Source organism: Homo sapiens, chromosome 6 (assembly GCF_000001405.40).
Source record: "Homo sapiens chromosome 6, GRCh38.p14 Primary Assembly".
Lineage (NCBI taxonomy): Eukaryota > Metazoa > Chordata > Mammalia > Primates > Hominidae > Homo > Homo sapiens.
Genome location: NC_000006.12, coordinates 35,945,803 through 35,968,651, shown reverse-complemented (window position 1 = coordinate 35,968,651; position 22,849 = coordinate 35,945,803). Strand labels below are relative to the sequence as shown.

General features: G+C 43.9%; 1 protein-coding gene across 6 annotated transcripts in view; it reads left to right on the top strand.

The window, feature by feature from the left end:
• The window catches only part of SLC26A8 (solute carrier family 26 member 8), an 81,126-nt gene that overhangs the window by 55,990 nt on the left and 2,287 nt on the right, over positions 1–22,849 (top strand). For 5 of the 6 annotated variants that reach the window (XM_011514294.4, NM_052961.4, NM_001193476.2 and 2 more), the window contains 8 exons: positions 6,031–6,126; positions 7,553–7,659; positions 7,740–7,809; positions 8,846–8,938; positions 9,061–9,192; positions 13,132–13,500; positions 17,153–17,207; positions 17,305–17,489. In XM_011514294.4, the coding sequence (XP_011512596.1) occupies positions 6,031–6,126; positions 7,553–7,659; positions 7,740–7,809; positions 8,846–8,938; positions 9,061–9,192; positions 13,132–13,500; positions 17,153–17,207; positions 17,305–17,489 (1,107 nt within the window). Of the gene's footprint in view, positions 1–6,030; positions 6,127–7,552; positions 7,660–7,739; positions 7,810–8,845; positions 8,939–9,060; positions 9,193–13,131; positions 13,501–16,650; positions 16,721–17,152; positions 17,208–17,304; positions 17,490–22,849 lie in introns of those variants that run through there. The other variant, XR_926055.4, reaches the window with a different exon arrangement.

The window sequence follows — 22,849 nt, the reverse complement described above, 5'->3', positions numbered from 1 at the left end:
TATATATATATATATATATATATATATATATATATATATATACACACACACACACACACACATACACACATATGTATATTTATATATAAGATTTATATGGTGTGTAGATAGATAGATGTAATAGTATTGGGCCTATAGTAAACACTCAAGAAACATTAGTTATAGGGCTGGGCACCGTATAACTGGGTTATACAGTTATACACCGTATAACTGGGATACAGGGCACCGCCTGTAATCCCAGCACTTTGGGAGGCCAAGCTGGGCAGATTACCTGAAGTCAGGAGTTCAAGACCCGCCTGGCCAACATGGAGAAACCTCATCTCTACCAAAAATACAAAAATTAGCTGGTCATGGTGGTGCATGCCTGTAATCCCAGCTACTCTGGGGGCTGAGGCAGGAGAATCTCTTGAACCTGGGAGGTAGAGATTGCAGTGAGCCGAGATCCCACCACTGCACTCAAGCCTGGGTTACAGAGTGAGACTCCGTCTAAAAAAGAAAAAAAAGCGTTAGTTATAGGCCAAGAGTGGTGTAATCCCAGCACTTTGGGAGGCCAAGGTGTGCAGATCACTTGAGGTCAGGAGTTCAAGATCAGCCGGGCCAACGTGGCAAAACCCCGTCTCTACTAAAAATATAAAAATTAGCTGGGTGTGGTGACAGGTGCCTGTAATCCCAGCCATTCTGGAGGCTGAGGCAGGAGAATCGCTTGAACCTGGGAGGCTGAAGTGAGCTGAGATCACGCCATTGCACTCCAGCCTGGGTGACCGAGTGAGACTGTTTCAAAAAATAAATAAATAAATAAAATTAAGTTATTATTATTATTGAATCTTCTTTTTATTGCTTAAGCTATAAAGCAAGCTTCGTAAGTAAGGATTCAGTGAAAAATGACCAAAATAGACTTCAGAAGCCACACCAACATGGGCTTGGAAACTCACTGTGCATTCATGCCATCTGTTTTCCTACACTGCTTCCAGAAGGCCTTGTTCTGCATTTGTGTGAACTCAGTCCTCCCATTGCTGCTACACTGCCTCTTGGTTAGTTCACAACACTAGAAGGCAGGTCTGAAAGTTGTGTCTTAACTCAGTATTCAGCCAGCATGCCTCTATATACAAATGTGTCATTCTTCCCTTTGTGTGAAACTGAGCACCCTGTAGAGATGCCAGGTGTGTTAATTATTAGCTATAATCCTTCTCTTCTTAGGTTACAGTAGGTCTATACTCAGTGACCATCATTTCCTTTTAAGTTTTCTTCATGTTCCTGTTAGCCATTTTTATATCGTACTTAGGGAGGTGAGAGAAGGTTTATTTGTGGATGTAGCAGCTTGGTTACACACCGAGGTGGCTGTCCCTGAAGCTGGGGTGGTTGTAAATGTGATCTCCCTCCTTCTGAATGCTTCCTTTCCACCTGGTGAATAGCAGGTGTCAGTAGAGCAGGACCATCCACAAGGCTGCTGCTGCCTTCTGCTCATATGATTCAAGGACCTTGGAGCCAAGGCATGGAATCTATGCAAGGAGGGTGGAACTAGTAAAAATTGACACGCAAGCGGTCCTCTGATTCCCAGTAGAGGTAATCTCCAGAATTCAGTTTCTACAGCACCTTTGTTGCTATCACTATTGGAATCTATTTTAGGAGGGCCACTCACTGATTTACTTTGGACATGGATATTTTTTCTTTACAACTAAATGAAGCAGAATTTTAAAATTCCAAACAAACAAAAATTATCAGAGTTCACTGACGGGTAGTGATAAAATTTGGGACTCCTTTATTATAAACACGTTGGGGACAGAACAGCCCTTGCTTTTGGCTAGCCATATTACATCACATTAATTTTATAGCATCTAGTTAGCATGTTTCTGAGTGAGCAGTTGTGATTATAATAAGATCAATGGAATAGATTAATTACTGTAACAATAAGGTTCTATGAGTACTAAGCTATAAATGACTTCTTCCTTTCTTGAAAAACTGTGAACAGTTGCAAAACCCTTGTTAGAGTCCCTAGTAGAGCATTCAGGCTAGGATCTCAACTAGTTACAAGAGGACCAACACAAATTTTGAAAAACATGATATAAAATAATATATTCAATATTATTCCAATTTTGTGAGGAAGAAAAATGTAGAACATACCAGTGGTTATCTCTGGGATAATGGAAATTATGTATGAGTTTAACTTGTTTTTACACCATGAGCATGTTTCACCTTAATATTTAGAAGGATAAAAATGTTGTTGCATATTGTTTTATGAAAAGATTTGTTTCCTCTCCATACTCCCTGCCTCAAGTCAAAAACCTTTCAAAAACCCTATGAGGTTGAGTTTATTTTCCTTCCCACCGTATTTCTTCAAATTGAAGGAAGTTTGGAAATTCTTGACTGGAAAGAAGATAGCATAGTGGAAAAGATGGTATGGTGGGAAAGAAGTAATTTCTGCCAACTTCATCTTTGCTTTTCGCTCCTCTACTGACCTGTTGTGTCTAACGGGTCACTGGGTACCCTCAGAAAGCCAGAGTAAGCGTGGACTCAGCCATTCCTCGTGGTAAGATTAGTTCTAATTCCCAGGCAGAGAATATGGAGGAATGGACAGCTAGGAAAGGGCTAAGAAATTAAACCAATACAGGAATTTCATGACCACAAGAAAATCTTTTTTTTTTTTTTTTTTGAGATGAGAGTCTCCCTCTATTGCCCAGGCTGGAGTGCAGTGGCATGATCTCAGCTCAGCTCAGCTCACTTCAACCTCTGCCTCCCAGGTTCAAGCAATTTTCCTGCCTCAGCCTCCTGAGTAGCTGGGATTACAGGCACCTGCCACCACGCCTGGCTAATTTTTGCATTTTTAGTAGAGATGGAGTTTCGCCATGTGGGCCAGGCTGGTCTTGAACTCCTGACCTCAGGTGATCCACCCACCTCAGCCTCCCAAAGTGCTGGGATTACAGGTGTGAACAAAAATGTTTCTTTCTTTCTTTCTTTTTTTTTTTTTTTTTGAGATGGAGTTTCGCTCTTGTTGCCCAGGCTGGAGTGCAATGGCGCAATCTCGGCTCATGGCAACCTCCGCCTCCCAGGTTCAAGCGATTCTCCTGCCTCAGCCTCCCAAGTAGCTGGGATTACAGGCATGCGTCACCACACCCGGCTAACTTTTTTGTATTTTTAGTAGAGACGGGGTTTCTCCATGTTGGTCAGGCTGGTCTCGAACCCCCAACCTCAGGTGATTCCATCTGCCTCGGCCTCCCAAAGTGCTGGGATTACAGGTGTGAGCCACCACGCCCAGCCAGGTGTGAGCAAAAATGCTTCTTAAAAGTAGGTTAAATTCTACTTTGAAGCCCTGAACGATTTTTATATGCTTGTGCGTATAAATCCTCATTTTCTCATATTTAGGAAACTTTCTTTCCATTATAAAAGTAAACATGCTCATTTTCAAAACTTTAGAAAATGCAAAATAGATAAAAATGTCATTCACCATCACAAATAAAAAACTATTCACATTTTGGCATCTATCCAACCAATATTATTTTCTAAAAATGGATATCACTTTGCATAGTTGTAACCTAACTGTACAATTTTATATTCTTGTTATTTAATATATAGCATGAAACTTCATTCTATAACATTTGACATTTTTGGAAAATTAGGTTGTCTACATTTTTGTTATAAATAACAATGAGTAATTTTGTACATCTACCATTTTCTTTTTTTTTTTTTTGAGACATGGTCTCACTCTCTTGCCCAGACTGGAGAGCGGTGGCCCAATCTCGGCTCACTGCAACCTCTGCCTCCCAGGTTCAAGGAGTTCTCCCACCTCAGCCTCCTGAGTAGCTGGGATTACAGGTGCACGCCACTACTGCCTGGCTAATTTTTGTATTTTTAGTAGAGACAAGGTTTCACTATGTTGGCCAGGCTGGTCTTGAGCTCCTGACCTCAAATGATCCACTCACCTCAGCTTCCCAAAGTGCTGGGATTACAGGCGTGATCCACCATGCCTGGCACATCTACAGTTTTCTAGATTTAAGATTTTTTTTTTTTGAGACAGAGTCTCACTCTGTCACCCAGTCTGAAGTACAGTGGTGTGATCTTGGCTCACTGAAACCTCTGCCTCCCAGGTTCAAGCGATTCTCATGCCTCAGCCTCCCGAGTGGCTGAGATTACAGGCATGTACCACCATGCCCGGCTAATTTTTGTATTTGTAGTAGAGACAGGTTTTTGCCACATGGGCTAAATTTGTCTGGAACTCCTGGCTTCAAGAGATTCGCCTGCCTCAGCCTCCCAAAGTTCTGGGATTACAGACATGAGCCACTGCGTCTGGCCAAGATTTAGGATAAATTTCTGAAAGTAAAACAAAGTTTTTGTGTGAAAACATATCAGCATTTCTGGATATACTGTCAAGTGATTTTCCAAAAGGGCACCACCCTATTTCAACAACCATGTATAAAGGGTAATATCAATTATTTTATTTTATTTTTGTGAGACAGGGTCTTGCTCTTTCACTGGGCTGGAGTGCAGTGGCATGATCACACCTCACTGCAGCCTCCATCTCCCAGGCTTAAGTGGTCCTCCTACCTCAGTCTCCTGAGTAGCTGGGACTGTAGTTGCATGCTACCACACCTGGCTAATTTTATGTTTTTTGTAGAGATGGTGTCTCACTATGTCACCCAGGCTGGTCTCGAACTCCTGGGCTCAAGTGATCCTCCTGCCTCACCTTCACAAAGTGCTGGGGATTACAGGCATGAGCCACCACACTTGGCTATCAGTATTTTAAATTTGCTCATTTAATTTGATAAACAAAATGGTATTTCATTAGTAAATCATTACAGTATATTATGATTCAACATGAAGAAAAGCCCAGTTGGAATTGTTTTGGAGTTTCTGTGAGTGTAAGTTCTCTTAATTTATCATCCCATCTGAGAATGGTTTCTAGATAAGGTAGGTAACAGATATGTCAAGCAAACCAGACAAGGCAAGGCCAAGTAGCCAAAGGCACCAGCTCCCATGGGTCTTGTTCCACACACCAAAAGTAACAGAAGCAGAAGGGGATAGATGAGTATAACCTTTAGCTATGCCTGGCGAGATGTCAGAGCCCTGGCACCTGTGAGTGGTCGACTTGTGGGTTGGGAAAAAGAATTTACTGACAATAGTATAGGTTTGAAAAAGGAAAGTTTATTAGAAGGGAAGAACACTGCGAAAGGATGCAGTGAGGCGCCTCAGCAAGAGGACTGAGTGCGCTATGGTGGGTTTTCCTTAGGAGCATTCATAGACCTTAAGGCGGGAGCTTAGGGTTGTAAAACGAGTTTCAGCACAGCATTCCAGAGATGTATAGAAAATTTTGTTACTTATAAAAGTTGAAAGAGGCCTGGAATCACATGCCAGTTTGAGATATTAGGGAAGTTTGTTTACTTCTAAATTCCTAGATAAGGAGTTTTGCCTCCGGATGGCCTGTCAGATGGTCATCAGGTGGTCTTTGCTCCCTTTTAAATTGCTCAGATAAGAAGTTTTTGTCTCCGGGGCCTGCTCAATGGTAAGGAGGTGATTTTCACTTTCCTCAAGTTACTCTTCCTCTCACTGTCTATGTGAGTAATGAACTACCTGAATCTAAAAGGGGCTATTGTCAGCTTTCCTGGCTGAATCAGTCAGGCCTTGACGTTGGCCTGACCTTGCCTTGTGTTTTTGGCAAATTAAGGAGGAGGGCAAAGAAAAATGTAGAGACAAAATTAGCCGTGAGTGATGGCACGTAGTCCCAGCTACTTGGGAGGCTGAGTGGGGAGGACGTCTTGAGCCCAGGAGTTCAAGGCTGCAATGAGCTATGATAGCACGCCACAGTACTCCAGCCTGGGCAAGAGCGAGACCCTGCCTCAGAAAGGAAGAGAAAAGAGAAACGTAGAGAAAATTTATTTGATTGGACAATGAGTTGGAACATAGACATGGTATTCATATAAAATATCAATGCAAAATATCTCAAAGTGGCAAGGCTAACTTTTTGTGATTCCTTGGTGGGGATTTGTGAGTTTTACACCCCAAAGGGAAAATGAACCATGATTTATCTTTTCCCCACAGGCTGTGCTGGCTGGTATTATTCTGAGCAACGTCATTCCCTACCTTGAAACCATTTCTAACCTACCCAGCCTGTGGAGGCAGGACCAATATGACTGTGTGAGTGTAGATGCCCTGGCTGAGGAAGGGGAGGGCAGAGGGAGGTTGGAGAGAGGGAGAAAGAACAAACAAAAGAGATCTGCCATGGACCTAAAGAACACAAACAACTCTTTGATGCCTAGTACTCCAGTTTTGCTTTAAAAAGGAGAGTCAAGGTTGTTGGTACATGAAAACACGAAGACCTCATTCCAACTATGCAAAATTAAATGAAAAGGATTAAGTGGCTACAGTTACATCCAAATCTAGCAAAAAGGGTTTGTCATTCATCGCATATTTGGATAACTTTTTTTTTTTTTTTTTGAGACGGAGTCTCACTCTGTTGCCCAGGCTGGAGTGCAGTGGCGTGATCTCAGCCCACTGCAACCTCCGCCTCCCGGGTTCAAGTGATTCTCCTGCCTCAGCCTCCCGAGTAGCTGGGACTGCAGGAGCCCACCACCATGCCCGGCTAATTTTTGTATTTTTAGTAGAGACAGGGTTTCACTATATTGACCAGGCTGGTCTCAAACTCCTAACCTTGTGATCCACGTGCCTCAGCCTCCCAAAGTGCTGGGATTACAGGCGTGAGCCACTGCACCCAGCCTTGAATGACTTTTAATCCAGTTAATGTAAATACATTTCAGGATAGGAGTCTCCAATCCCAATAAGGGAAGGTGGTGTCTTGTCAGGCAGAATAACTGCTGGAGCACACTCCTCTCTGGAGCACAAAACCGGAGGTCAGAAAGGGGAAACAGCAAGAAATAAAAGGTGGAGGATAGAATGTGATGAGAGGAGGACCCAGGAGAGGCAAAGAAATATGAAAGGGGATAACTTTTGGAGCCAGATCCCTGAGGAGCTAAGAGGGGACGGGTCCACTGCACAGATAGTTTCTATTCCAGGAGGAGGCATAACACTTCCAAAGGGACGGAAGAGAATGAGGAAACATTGAGTATAGACACTGACAAGTGGCAGGTGGTGAGGAAAATATATATTTAAGGAATTTCAGCTGACTTTTCTTCTGTGAAGATGAAGTAATGGAGAAGGTGCTGGGGTAGGGGCCTGAAAAGGATGGTAAAGATTTGCAACAACTCTTATACATCTTAAAATAGCAACTACCATTTGGTGAGTATTCTAGTTGGCTTTGCAAATGGTATTCCTAATCTCAACAAAGCCTATAAGGTAGACATTATTACTATTTTGCACATGAGGAAATTGAAGTTTTGAGAGAGATTTGAAGACAGAGGCGACCAGGGATGCATAAAAGAATTGCTAGGCATCCTGGAGGGCCCCATTGTTTGTCATGGCACCAGTCCATGTGGCTATGGAATATTTCCCTAAAGCCCAGGTGTAGTAAGGGAGAGGGTGAAGGTGAGTTGAGAAACAGGACTGATCATTTTCTCAGTTGAACTTGTTTTCATGATCATTTTCCCCTCATTCCCTTTTCCATAAGGCTCTTTGGATGATGACATTCTCATCTTCAATTTTCCTGGGACTGGACATTGGACTAATTATCTCAGTAGTTTCTGCTTTCTTCATCACCACTGTTCGTTCACACAGGTACTTTGTCTCAGGTAATAGGAGGTTAACAAGGCAAGGTAAGCCAACTCTGACCTAAAGGCAAGTGCATTTCCTTTCAGAGCTAAGATTCTTCTCCTGGGTCAAATCCCTAACACCAACATTTATAGAAGCATCAATGATTATCGGGAGGTAAGAATCCAAATGGGTCCCATTTCTCTGCCTAAGGGATAGAGTGGGCCCCACCTCATGCTTAGTTTTTCTACAAAATCCCTTGCCATTGTTTCCTGCACTGCAGATACACATTTACAAAGGAGGGGGATGTGATGTACACTGGTAGAGATGGGTTCTTTGTTTTTATTTTTTTTTTTGGAGACAGAGTCTTGCTCTGTCACCCAAGCTGGACAGTACAGTGCAGTGGCTTGATCTTGGCTTACTGCAACCTCCACCTGCCAGGTTCAAGCAATTCTCCTGCCTCAGCCTCCCCAGTAGCTGGGATTACAGGCGTGCCCCATCATACCTGGCTAATTTTTTGTATTTTAGTAAAGACAGGGTCTCACCATGTTGCCCAGGCTGGTCTTGGACTCCTGAGCTCAGTCAATCTGCTTGCCTCAGCCTTCTAGAGTGCTAGGATTACAGGCATGACTCAACACACCCAGCCAAGACGGGTTCTTAAGTAGCTAAATTCTTATAGTATTGCAGCCAGTTAAAGATCATTTGTAAATGTACTTTAAGGAGAGTTTGGCCAAGAAAAAGGAAATGAAGGGAGAAAGAAGACAGCAGGAAAAGCAGAGGGTGAAAATGGGAGGAAATAATTTTCTAGTTCTTGTCTCTAATAAAGAAGAATACAGGCTGGGTGTGTTGGCTCACACCTGTAATTCCAGCACTTTGGGAGGCCAGGCATTTGAGACCAGCGTGGCCAACATGGTGAAACCCCGTATCTACTAAAAATACAAAAATTAGCAGGGCGTGATGGCAGGTGCCTGTAATCCCAGCTACTCAAGAGGCTGAGGCAGGAGAATTGCTTGAACCCGAGAGGCGGAGGTTGCAGTGAGCCAAGATCGCGCCATTGCACTCCAGCCTGGGCAACAGAGTGAGACTCTGTCTCAAAAAAAATAAAAAAATAAAAAAGAAGAATACAGACTCTCTAGGAGCTTCTAAGGATATATTATTCTTATTCCATAAAATAACTGAGAAATTTCCCTCAACTTCACATTTTGTCTTGCAGATCATCACCATTCCTGGGGTGAAAATCTTCCAGTGCTGCAGCTCAATTACATTTGTAAATGTTTACTACCTAAAGCATAAGCTGTTAAAAGAGGTATCTGCCCTCCTGCCCGCCTTTCTCAACCTGCCCACTCCCCGCCACTGGCATCTCTCTCCCACTCTTTCACCTTCTGTTCCACCATTCTTCCTCTGGATGAGACCTCTCATGTCTTTCAGGTTGATATGGTAAAGGTGCCTCTTAAAGAAGAAGAAATTTTCAGCTTGTTTAATTCAAGTGACACCAATCTACAAGGAGGAAAGATTTGCAGGTGTTTCTGCAACTGTGATGATCTGGAGCCGCTGCCCAGGGTTAGAAATGCCTTTTCTTTCCTATGTTTTTCTCCATATTTTATAAACAAGTACACTAGTCATTTCTTAAAAAAAAAATCAAAACCTCTAAGGGATTTTGACTTTTAGATGGACCATGAAGAATTCAGAAATTAAGATACAAGGTTCCTCTCACCTTGGAGGCTTGACTGAAAAAAAAAAGGCACAAGATTCCCCCTTGAGGTTCAGGTTTTCACAAGAAAGTAGGTGGGAAGTGTTCTGACTTCTACTGGTTGAACAGTGACCAGAGAACAGTTTGCCTGTTGAGACTGTAATTCTGTAGTTGCACCTATTTCCCTGGCTCTTAGCGGCCAAGCTTTAGATTTCTGAAAATAAGTGACTTAAAGATTGTTTTCTGATTCCAACTAGGGCAAGGTCAAGGTTGCTGGGCTTCTCAAGGATCTGCCAGGGTCTCCTGATGTCTTCCTATGGCCAAGAAAATGATGATGGGAGATGGGGGAAAGGAGCGGGGAGGATGAGCACAGGCCGCTATTTCAGATGGGAATTTTACAGCATTTGGAGGTTATTTTTACTGATGAGAATTACAAAGTGTTCATTATTTCCAAACTGGACTTGATCTAAGTAGTCCCTTCCCCCAGAGCAGGATTGCTCATTTCTAGCTTTTGGGTCTTTCGGCAATCACCTAGTCTACAGCACTCACTCTGGAGGGGCAGCTCTCTCTATACACAAAGATTTACATCCTCCCCCGCAACACACACACACAAATGCCTCCACCCGCCATGCAGGTGCTTGCAAAACCCTGAGCATCCACTCTTGTTCCCATACATTCTAATGGAGCATAGGTTCCACTGAGCTACTGAGAAGGGGTTTCACCATGTTGGCCAGGCTAGTCTCGAACTCCTGACCTCAGGCAATCCACCTGCCTCAGTCTCCCAAAGTGCTGGGATTACAGGGGTGAGCACCATACCTGGCTTGTTTTTTTCTTTCATAATAGTGGTATATCTTAAGATTGACAAAATAGCATAGTGAATCATGCAATATAGCATATAGCTGTCTTTTAAATTGTATGTTTAGATTCTAACAGCCCCAAGTAGCTGGGATTACAGGTACATGCCACCATGCCTGGCTAATTTTGTATTTTTAGTAGAGATCGGGGTTTCACCATATTGGTCAGGCTGGTCTCGAACTCAAGACCTCAGGTGATCCACCTGCCTTAGCCTCCCAAAGTGCTGGGATTACAGGCGTGAGCCACCACACCCAGCTAGATTCTAACAGCTCTTAAGACATCAAGTAAGGGGAGATTGGCATGAGCTCAAAAGTCAGAAAAACTTTGTGGTAGCATCAGCCTGTGCTGGGAAATTTATGAGAGAATTTTAGATTGAAGTTGGGTAGGAAAAAAGAGGATTCCCAGTCCATGGACAGGCTTCGACAAAGACACCAAGGTAGAAATAAACGTGGGGCTCTTAGGATAGAGGCTTAGCCTGGGAAGTAAGGTCAGGCAGATAACACATGAGGGGATTGTAAGAAAGATAAGAACGTAGAGTAGATGGAGGAGAGAAAAGAAGGATCTCGGATGGCCAGGCGCAGTGGCTTACGCCCGTAATCCCAAAACTTTGGGAGGCCGAGGCAGGCGGATCACCTGGGGTCAGGAGTTCGAAACTAGCCTGGCCAACATGGTGAAACCCTGTCTCTACTAAAAATACAAAATTAGCCCAGCATAGTGGCTCATGCCTGTAATCCCAGCTACTCGGGAGGCTGAGGCAGGAGAATCGCTTGAACCCAGGAGGCGGAAGTTCAGTGAGCCAGAATCTGTGCCACTGCACTCTAGCCTGGGCAACAAGAGCAAAACTCCATCTCAAAAAAAAAAAAAAAAAGGTGGCTCTCAGAGAATTCCCTCTGCCTAGAGGAGCTCACATCTCCCTGCCACTGAGCCAACCCTGGCCTGTTCCCCAAATGCCTGGCCCCAGTGACCTCAAGCCTTGGGAACAGCTCTCTCCTTTGAACTGCAAACTGCAGCATTATCATCTATCCACACCACTTTTCTTTTCTTTTCTGCTATACAATATATACTACCTCATATTGTTTTTAGCTTTAAATTTTTAAAATTTATTTCACAAGCAACATTGTTAGAATAACATTAAAAAAAAAAATAGAAACATCACCCAGAATTACACCACTCTAGCAAAGGAATTCTTCTCATTATTCCTTGTGCTTTATAGTTCTCATCCATATATATTCTTACTTATCCTTTTTATTTTGAGACGGAGTTTCACTCTTGTTACCGGGGCTGGAGTGGGATGGTGCGACCTTGGCTCACCACAAACTCTGCTTCCTGGGTTCAAGCAATTTTCCTGCCTCAGCCTCCCGAGTAGCTGAGATTACAGGCATTTACCACCCTGTCTGGCTAATTTTGTATTTTTAGTAGAGACGTGGTTTCTCCATGTTGGTCAGGCTGGTCTTGAACTCCCAACCTCAGGTGATCTGCCTGTCTCGGCCTCCCACAGTGCTAGGATTACAGGCGTGAGGCACACCCCCAGCTTTTGTTTTTTTTTTTTTCTTTTGAGATGGAGTTTTGCTCTTATTGCCCAGGCTGGAGTGCAATGGCACAATTTCAACTCCCTGCAACTTCTGCCTTCTGGGTTCAAGCGATTCTCCTGCCTCAGCCTCCTAAGTAGCTGGGATTACAGGCATGCACCACCACACCTGGCTAACTTTGTATTTTTAGTAGAGATGGAATTTCGCCATGTTGGTCAGGCTGGTCTCGAACTCCTGACCTCAGATGATCCACCCACCTCAGCCTCCCAAAGTTCTGGGATTACAGGTGTGAGCCACCATGCCTGGCCTTACTTATCCCTTCAATGAACGTGTGCACACTGCCAGGTAGAGTCTGGTTCCTGTAAATGCAGAGTCCACATTTGCATCCTGCACATCATTGTGTTCCTGGTCCTTGTTACTGTCCTTAAGCTATAGCAGGCAGTCTGGGCCTTTAGGAGGTTGACAGCAGTGGTAAAGACAGCCTTGCTCATGTAATTTTTTTTTTTTTTTTTTTTTTGGACATAAGGTCTTGCTCTGTTGCTCAATCTGGAGTGTGGTGGTGTGGTCACAGCTCACTGCAGCCTCAACCTCCCAGCTTCAAGCGATCCTCTCACCTCAGCCTCCTGAGTACCTGGGACAATAGGCGTGTGCCAGCTTTTTTTGGGGAGGGGGCAGGGGGGCACGACAGGGTCTCACTGTGTCACCCAGGCTGGAGTGTGCACTGGTGCAATCTTGGCTCACTGCAACCTTCATCTCCCAGGCTCAAGCAATCCTCCCACCTCAGCCTCCCCAGTAGGTGGGGCTACAGGCTCACTGACACGCCCAGCTATTTTTATTCTTATTTATTTTTTATTGTTTTGTATTTTTTGTAGAGACAGATTTTTGCCATGTTGCCCAGGCTGGTTTCAAACTGCTGAGCTCAAGGGATCCACCTGCTTTGACCTTCCAAAGTGCTAGAATTATAGGCATGAGCCACTGCACCCAGCCTTCAAGTGCTTTTTGTCTTAAGGAAGTCTGAAAGGAGACTGTTGCACTGATGAAGGAAGAGGGTGCTGAGACAAGGGACTGATGGGAAAAAAATACTTCACACAAAGTATTAGTAGGCACTGGAGACTAACTAGGACCCAAGCATGAGGAAAAGGAGTAAAAGATGTTTTAAGTCTGGCTCACTGGGACAGTGATGAACATCAGAAGTTGGGAGGGGGGTGTCGTGGGTGGTGAAGATGAGGAAAGATGACTGTGGGGGCTTCAGTTGTGAGCTTGAAGTGACAGATATCCAAGTAAAAAATGCACAGTACCTACTCTCGGGAGAAGTTTCATGAGAGAGGGACATGAGCTGGCAGAGACAAGAAATAGCATCGTTGCAAGTCCTTCCGGCCCTTGTTGGTGTCTTACCACAGCCCTCCCTTAACTCTGTCGTCCCAGATTCTTTACACAGAGCGATTTGAAAATAAACTGGATCCCGAAGCATCCTCCATTAACCTGATTCACTGCTCACATTTTGAGAGCATGAACACAAGCCAAACTGCATCCGAAGACCAAGTGCCATACACAGTATCGTCCGTGTCTCAGAAAAATCAAGGGCAACAGTATGAGGAGGTGGAGGAAGTTTGGCTTCCTAATAACTCATCAAGAAACAGCTCACCAGGACTGCCTGATGTGGCGGAAAGCCAGGGGAGGAGATCACTCATCCCTTACTCAGATGCGTCTCTACTGCCCAGTGTCCACACCATCATCCTGGATTTCTCCATGGTACACTACGTGGATTCACGGGGGTTAGTCGTATTAAGACAGGTAAGTACTGAGGAGGCCTTGGCAGGAGCTCTGATCCCCCTCCTACCATCCCAACCCCACCCTGATCCTGATTGAATTCTGTTAGTCACTGATCAGCTGCTATGAGACTGCTAGGCCACCAGAGCCTTGGACACCAAAGGCAGTACAATATAAGGTCAATCAAAATAAAAAGAGAATGAACCAATTCTTTTTTCTTTTTTCTTTTTTGAGATGGAGCCTCACTCTGTTGCCCAGGCTGGAGTGCAGTGGCACAATCTTGGCTCACTGCAACCTCCACCTCCCAGGTTCAAGAGATTCTCCTGCCTCAGCCTCCTGAATAGCTGGAACTACAGGCATGTGTCACTACGCCCTGCTAATTTTTGTATTTTTGGTAGAGACGGGGTTTCACCATGTTGGCCAGGTTGGTCTCAAACTGCTAACCTCAAGTGATCCGCGCACCTCGGCCTACCAAAGCTCTGGGATTACAGGCGTGAGCCACCATGCCCAGCCTAAAATGAACCAATTCTGATGTATTGAGCTGCGGTTGGTTTGGTAAGCATAAAACATTATTATTTCTCAAGAAATGAAAAACAGGACACTCTGAACTTCACTGAAACAGCAATCTGTGCCACGCCCAGTAACTCCCAGAACATCCTGGGAGTCAGCTGCAAATCTCTTCAAGGAATAGGTCTGAATGCTTCAGAAAAAAAGCAGCTCACCAGGAATTCTCCACAGTTCAGCTGATCTGAGCCAGCACTGTAAAAGGCACTGGGCTGTCTTGTACTCCAGTTTGAAGACGTTGGGATGAAATGACACCTCAAACTTGGGGCTGGCTGTCCAGTACCTGCAGGGTCTTCCCCACTTCCTTCCTCACTGACACATCATCAGGTGAAAAGGACAAGGATGATTTTCCCTTCAAAAGCTGTGTCCCCGGGTCCTGACTTCTTTTCTACTCTTGGGTTTCTCTAACAGTTCTCTTTTGTCTTCCTCCTATATGGTACAGACAGTTTAAGTGCACAGCTAACCATATTGATGTCATTGTTTAATGCCTCATAAGTATAATATTCCTTTTTAGCCAGCTTATCCCAGTTTACAGCACTCTGTCTCCCTCTTGGTGATGGCTCAGGTTTGAACATCCTGAACACTCATGGTGTTTGAGTGCTTCTTTTGAGATTTGCACACCTCTTTTGAGATTTGTGCCTTTGGATGGTTTTCCTTCTTTTATCCTCAGAACCTATTTTGTCATATTTTCTTACTCCTAAGGGAATACGACTGCCTCTTAAGTGAGTCCAGCTTCTCTTTGGTCTGGGGCAAAAGGAAGCTTTTCATAGCAGAAAGAACTCTGGTTTGCAGTCTGGGATGTATGCTCTGTCTTGGCTCACTGTCCTTCTGACCCGAGGCAAGTTACTAAATTGAACTGGGTCTCCGTTTCCTAATCTACAAAATGAGAGGTTTGGAAGAGATTAAGAGCTTTCCCATCCATGAGATCCTTTTATTTTTCAACACCACTTTCTGACTCAATTATACTTTGAAAATCTGTTGTTATTTGGGCTTTTCCATCTTATTCTACTGGGCTATGTTCTCCCCTCCTGGTCCTGGGCTGTAGTTGTTACTTTAGATTTTATTCAGCCCACGTTGCTGAGTGTCTACTACGTGCCAGACTGAGCTGGGCACATGTATATACACTATCTCATGTAATTTTCACAACTGCCTTGAGAGACAGGCCATACTTTCCCCTAAGAGTCTGAGGCTCACAGCTCATAAGTGGCCTGTCCAGCATTGAAACTTTTAAGTATCTGACTTTATATCATACTTTCTCTCTGTTCCATGGTATAGTTGTGCCATTGTCTCCCTTGCTCCTCCTCTTTTTGTAGAGGCACCATATGTTCTGGTCCTTGGCAGCACCCACCCACACCTGGCCCATGTTGATGACTTTCTGTTCCATCCCCAACATGGAGACAATGTCAGACGCCTTTCACTTTCAGCCTTCAGAGATTCATGGTGTACTTTTGCACTCTAAAAATACAGGTTTCTTCATTTCCTTTGTAGTTGTGTATACTGCCTCCTTATTGGAAGAAATCATTCTATTTACTTTATAATTGAAAACTGGAACCTAAGAAAAATCCATCAGTCCATTTTTTTTTTTTTTTTTTTTTTTTGAGACAGCATCTTGCTGTGTCGCCCAGGCTGGAGTGCAGTGGCATGATCTCGGCTCACTGCAATCTCCACCTCCCGGGTTCAAGTGATTCTTCTGCCTCAGTCTCCTGAGTAGCTGGGACTACAGGCGCACACCACCACACCCGCATAATTTTTGTATTTTTAGTAGAGACGGGGTTTCACCATATTGGCCAGGCTTGTCTCGAACTTCTGACCTCGTGATCTGCTTGCCTCAGCCTCCCAAAGTGCTGGGATTACAGGCATGAGCCACCGCGCTCAGCCTACCCATCAGTCCATTCTTATTGGAGACAGCCACTCAGATTAAACTTCTTCCTAATTCATGGGACTTTCCTTTTCCAGCACTTGTCATTTAGAGTCTGTTGTGGCCCTTTGCCAAATGACTTTGTGATTTGCCATATGATCAAGAATGACTTCATTTCCTCTTGGTAGTGAAAGAAGCAGAGTTCGTTTCTTTTGACACTTTAACTTAGTGCTCAGGGTTGGTGTCTACTTAGTCTTAAGTATTAAAGTCGATATTGATTTGCTTTGAAGTGAACTTCAAGATTTATTGCCCCACAGTGTATATATTGGCTGAAGCAAACTTGAGGACAGTAGCTGATGTTTACTTATCTGATAGTAAACATCTGATGTTTTACTAAAATCAAATGCAACTTTGCAAGGCAGCTCTGAATGTGACCCTCAGGGTTTCTGAATTCCGTTCCCTACTGCATCACTTGAGCGTCTCTGAGCCACATCTTGCTTCCTCTGCTCAGTAAACTCCAGGGGGAAGTGGGGGTCTCATGCAAACACTAGGCCATCATGCCAAAATATGGTTGTTTGAGATGATTCTCCAGAGTGTTTGCCTCACACCTGTGCCTGTCTCTATGCTAGGGCTTTCCTCCTGCAGACGTCCTGTCTTGATATATACTGTTTATCCCCTTGAGACTATGGGCAGCTCTCCCTCCTGCTCCCCACCCTCACATGACACGGTCTGATTCTCTTTTGCATTCCCAGCACTGTAGATGTTTTCCGGCATAGAGAACTCCACTCATCAAATGTTTGTAGAGCTGAATTGGGATGCAAGGTACATATACCCCCAGACAAGTGAAGGGCCAAAGGGGTTTTAAAACTCGGCTAATTGGCTGGGTGCAGTGGCCCACGCCTGTAATCCCAGCATTTTGGGACGTCGAGGCAGGCAGATCACGAAGTCAGGAGTTTGAGACCAGCCTGGCCAATATGGTGAAACCCTGTCTCTATTAAAAATACAAAAATTAGCCAGGCGTGTGGTATGCACCTGTAGTCTCAGCTACTTGGGAGGCTGAGGTGGACAAATCACTTGAACCTGGGAGGCGGAGGTTGCAGTGAGCCGAGATCATGCCACTGCACTCCATCTGGGTGACAGAGTGAGACTCTGTCACAAAAAACCAAAACAAAACAAGACAAAAACTTAGCTAATTAGAAGGCCTTTCCTAGCAAGTATAAAGCCTTCTGATACTGGTTTTCTCTCCCCCCACAGATATGCAATGCCTTTCAAAACGCCAACATTTTGATACTCATTGCAGGGTGTCACTGTGAGTATCCTTCACCCTATGAGAGGGCTGTTTTGCACCCTGGGTCCTCTGCTCCCCAAGTATCTGACATTGTGTGTGTTCTGGGTTTGGTTTTTAGCTTCCATAGTCAGGGCATTTGAGAGGAATGATTTCTTTGACGCTGGCATCACCAAGACCCAGCTGTTCCTCAGCGTTCACGACGCCGTGCTGTTTGCCTTGTCAAGGAAGGTCATAGGCTCCTCTGAGTTAAGCATCGATGAATCCGAGACAGTGATACGGGAAACCTACTCAGAAACAGACAAGGTCAGACAAACCGACAAAGCATGAGGTTGGGGGAAGGGATTGAGGGCAGTGGGGGGATGGGTGAGGGGTGGTTGGGGGCTGGGAGTCAGGATTCCTGATCAGATAGAGGAATAATGTCCAGGAAAGGTATTTAGTATGGCTGTACCAGAATCTGGGATGTTGAAATGCACCCTTACCACTTGGTAAATAGCAGTGGATCTGAGCAGCCAAGTGCCCTCACTGTCATGGCATCAGGGTTCCATTCAAGAAATTTCCCTAACTGAAGAGAGGGTTTGCCCAACCCAGCACAGACCTCAAGGATCCTTCTACAGCATTCTTGGTTAGTGTCTATTACCAGTTGCTAAATATTCTAAATGTCTCCCCTAGCTATACCTTTAGAATTCCTCCCCACCCCACCCACTCTTGGGATGAATAATAATACTAATGAACTAGCAGAGATTCAGATCTATAATCTTGTCTAATACCTCAGCTTTATTACCTTTACATTGTTGTGGTATGAGATTTACTCAAGCTGACCAAATGCAAAGGAGAATAATATATAAGTCTGAATTTTCAGCCTTTTATTAATACTGAGACCTGGCTGAGTGCGATGGCTCACGCCTGTAATCCTAGCACCTTGGGAGGCCGAGGCAGGTAGATCATGAGATCAGGAGTTCGAGACCATCCTAGCCAACATGGTGAAACTCCTTCTCTACTAGAACTACAAAAATTAGCCAGGCATGGTGGCGGGCACCTGTAGTCCCAGTTGCTTGGGAGGCTGAGGCAGAATTGCTTGAACCCGGGAGGCAGAGGTTGCAGTGAGCTGAGATCACGCCACTGCACTCCAGCCTGGGCGACAGAGTGAGACTCTGTCTAAAAAAAAAAAAATACTGAGACCTGGGCCTACTTTAGCATTTTCAAATCAGTACCTGTGTAGGTTAAAGGTTTCCAAAAACAAAAAAAGGAAATTAAAACAGATGGGCACTAAAATATTATCTAATATTATCTAATGACTAGAAATCATTATTAAACAAAGCCTAGTTGATGAAATGAGACACCACATCTGAAACAGTTAAGACCGTACAACGGGCGGGCGAGATGGCTCACGCCTGTAATCCCAGCACTTTGGGAGGCCAAGGCAGGCGAATCACTAGGTCAGGAGATCGAGACCATCCTGGTGAAACCCCATCTCTACTAAAAATACAAAAAAATTAGCCGGGCGTGGTGGCACGCGCCTGTAGTCCCAGCTACTTGGGAGGCTGAGGCAGGAGAATCGCTTGAACCCAGGAGGCAGAGGTTGCAGTGAGCCGAGATCGCGCCACTGCACTCCAGACTGGGCGACGGAGTGAGACTCTAAAAAAAAAAACAAAAAAACACACACACACACAACTAGTTAACTGGTAGTTAATAAAAAAACAACTAGTTAACTAGTAGTTAATAATTAGTAATGACTAACTAATTGGTTTGAATTATGCAGTCTGCTTTTACTATAAATGGAAGTTTCTCTATTTTTTAATTTATAATTATGATACTCGATATATTTGTTTTTACATATTTAGTCATATCTATTAATGTTTCCTTTTCTTATTATATTTACTTTTTATTTAGAAAGTCATTCCCTCTTAGAAGGTAAATAAGACACATTTTCTAGATTTTTATGTTTTTATTTTTTATATGTTATACTCTTTAATGTAAATAGAATGTATTTCAGTATACAGGTATTGAAGGGTAATCTTTATTTTTTTTTTATTTTTGAGACAGTCTCATTCTGTCACCCAGGCTGGAGTGCAATGGCATGGTCTCGGCTCACTGCAACCTCTGCCTCCTGGGTTCAAGCGATTCTCCTGCCTCAGCCTTCCAGGTAGCTGGGACTACAGGCGCCCGCCACCACACCTGGATAATTTTTATATTTTTAGTAGAGACAGGGTTTCACTATGTAGGCCAGGCTGGTCTTGAACTCCTGACCTCATGATCTACCCGCCCCAGCCTCCCAAAGTGCTGGGATTACAGGCATGAGCCACTGCACTCAGGCTTAATCTTTATTTTTTATCTATGTAGCTAACTATTTTGGGCTATATGCCATCTATCTTAGTTCATTAGTGCTACTATAACAAAATATCTGAGACTGGGTAATTTGTAAATAATAGATATTTATTTCTCACAGTTCTGAATGCGAGAAGTCCAAGATCAAGGTCCTGGCAGTTTCAGTGTCTGCTGAGGGCTTCTTCCATCTTCTCTCAGCAGCATCCCCACATGGCAGAAGGTGGAAGGACAAAAGGGTTTATGCTAGCCCTCCAGCCCTTTTATAAGGCACTAATCCATTCACAAGGGCAGAGCCCTTATGACTTAATCACTCCCCAAAGGCCTCACCTCTTAATACCACCACAATGTGGATGGATTTTGGAAGCCACTCATGCAAATCATACCACCATCCAACCATCTATTGAATAAGCCTTCTTTCCCCTACTGATATGTTATTTTCATAAAATATTATATTCTTATGAAAACTAAAGTGTATTTCTAGTTTAGTTGTGGATGTCATTTTTCTGTATAGCTTCAGTATCACAGTGTTTTTTGTTTTTGTTTTTGTTTTTTGAGACAGAGTCTCACTTTGTCGCCCAGTCTGGAGTGCAGTGGCACAATCTCGGCTCACTGCAACCTCCGCCTCCCAGGTTCACGTGATTGTCCTGCCTCAGCGTCCTGAGTAGCTGGGCTTACAGGCATGCGCCACCACACCTGGCTTATTTTTGTATTTTTATTTGAGACGAGGTTTCACCATGTTGCCCAGGCTGGTCTCGAACTCCTGACCTCAGGTGATCTGCCCACCTTAGCCTCCCAAAATGCTGGGATTACAGATGTGAGCCATCGTGCCTAGCCATCACACTGTTTTTATTAGTATTGCTGTATAATACACTTTAACATTTGGTTAAGAAGTCCTATGTCATCAGTGTTCTATTTCAAAATTTGCTAAGTCATTCTCACCAATTTATTCTTCCAAACCAACTTTTGAATCTTTTGTCAGGTCCCCACCCCACAAAAACAAATCTTATTGAAATAATCATTAGAGTTGTATTAAAAATATAAAATCCCTTGAGAATTTATATCTTTATAGTATTCATTCTTCTTATCCAGAAACATGAACTGTCTCTACATTTATTGTCTTCTTAAATGTTTCATTCATAGTAAGGTTTTGTGACTTTCTTCACATGGGAAAATCTTAGATACTTTATATGTTTTACTTTTTTGTTTTTTTGAGACAGGGTCTCACTCTGTCACCCAGGCTGAAGTGCAGTGGCATGATCACAGTGCACCACAGCCTCGGCCTCTCAGGCTCAAGCAATCCTCCAACCTCAGCCTCCTGAGTATTTGGGAGTACAGACGCACACCACTATGCCCAGCTAATATTTGTATCTTTCACAGAGACGGGGTTTTGCCATGTTGCCCAGGCTAGTCTTAAACTCCTGGGCTCCAGCAATCCACCCACCTCCACCTCCCAAAGTGCTGGGATTACAGGCATGAGCCACCACACCTGGCCATTTCCATTATATTTTCTAACTGGCAATTGCTAACATATAGGAAACTCATTGGTTTTTATTAAATTATTTGGCTACCTTTGTGAATCACTTTACTATTCCTAAGAGGTTTCACTGTTAATTCCTTTGGGTTTTCCAAATAGGAAAATATTTTCTAAAAATAATACTAATCTCTTATGTTCCAATTGTTAGAATTCTTATTTCAATATCATATATTATTGCATTAACTAAACCTCTCAGAACAAGTAATAATGATGAATCTTGTCTTACTCCTGAATTTAATGAGAAGGATCCTGTGTGTCTCTATTAAGACTAGTGGTGGCCAAGTGTGGTGGCTCATGCCTGCAATCCTAGCACTTCGGGAGGCCAAGGAAGGCGGATCACTTGAGGCCAGGAGTTTGAGACCAGCCTGGCCAACATGACAAAACCCTGTCTCTACAAAAAATACAAAAAAATTAGCTGGGCATGCTGGCGCGTGCCTATAACCCCAGCTACTCAGGAGGCCAAGGCATGAGAATCACTTTAACCCAGGAAGCGGAGGTTGCAGTGGGCTGAGATCCTGCCACTGCACTCCAGCCTGGGCAACAGAGCGAGACCCTGTTTCAAAAAAAAATTAAAAAATAAAAGACTAGTGGTGATGCTGGTTTAAGATGGACATATCAGCCAGCCGTAGTAACTCATGCCTGTAATGTCAGCACTTTGGGAGACTGAGGCAGAAGAATCACTTGAGGCCAGGAATTTCAGAGCAACCTGGACAACATAGTGAGACTCTTATCTTGAAAAAAAAAACTAAAAATCAGCCAGGTATGATGGTGCATACCTGTAATCCTAGCTACTCGGGAGCTTGAGGCAGGAGGATTGCTTGAGCCCAGTAGTTTGAGGTCACAGTGAGCTTTGATTGTGCCACTGCACTCTGGCCTGGATGACAGAGTAAGACCCGGTCAAAAAAAAAGATGGACATTATCTACTATGTTTTTAAAAAATATTTTCCTAACGTACTAACATTCTTATATTAAGACTTGGTATTGAATATGTCAATTGTTTTCTACTATTTAAGACAGGGAAGACTAGGAGAGGAGCAAGTTCTATTTCATGTGTATTGAATTCAAAATGCCTGGGCCAGGTGTGGCCTCACGCCTGTAATCCTAGCACTTTGGGAGGTGAGGCAGGTGGATCACTTGAGGCCAGGAGTTCGAGACTAGCCTGGCCAACATGGTGAATCCTATTCTCAACTAAAAATACGAAAATTAGTCGGGTGTGGTGGCGCATGCCTGTCATTCCAGCTACTTGGGAGCCTGAGGCAGGAGAATCACTTGAACCTGGGAGGCGGAAGTTGCAGTGAGCCAAGATCATGCCACTGTACTCCAGCCTGGGCAACAGAGTGATACTCTGTCTAAAACAAAACAAAACAAAACAAAAAAATTCAAGTGGCCTATTAAACATTCAAATGGAGATGTCAAGAATGGAAGTGAATTTATGAACCTGCAGATCAGGGGAAGGGTTATAACCAAAGAATCATCAGCATCAGCATATAGATGGTAATGAAAATTATGGGCCCAAAATAAAAGTCCCTATGGAGAGAGCATAGATAGACAAGAGAAAGGTCCCAGGATCAAGCCCTGGGGCATACCAACATCTAGAAGTCCAGTAGAAGGAGAGGAGATAGCAAAAAGACCAAGGAGCAGCAACCAGGAAGGAAGGAGGAAAAGCAGAAGAGTGTCATATGGTGGTCGAGAAGAAAATGTTTCAGGAAAGTTGAAGTGATTAATTTTGAGGAATGCTGTTACAGGCTGATTCAAGGCTGATGCAAGGCCTGTGGGCACCTGCTATGTGACAAGCTCAGTGTCT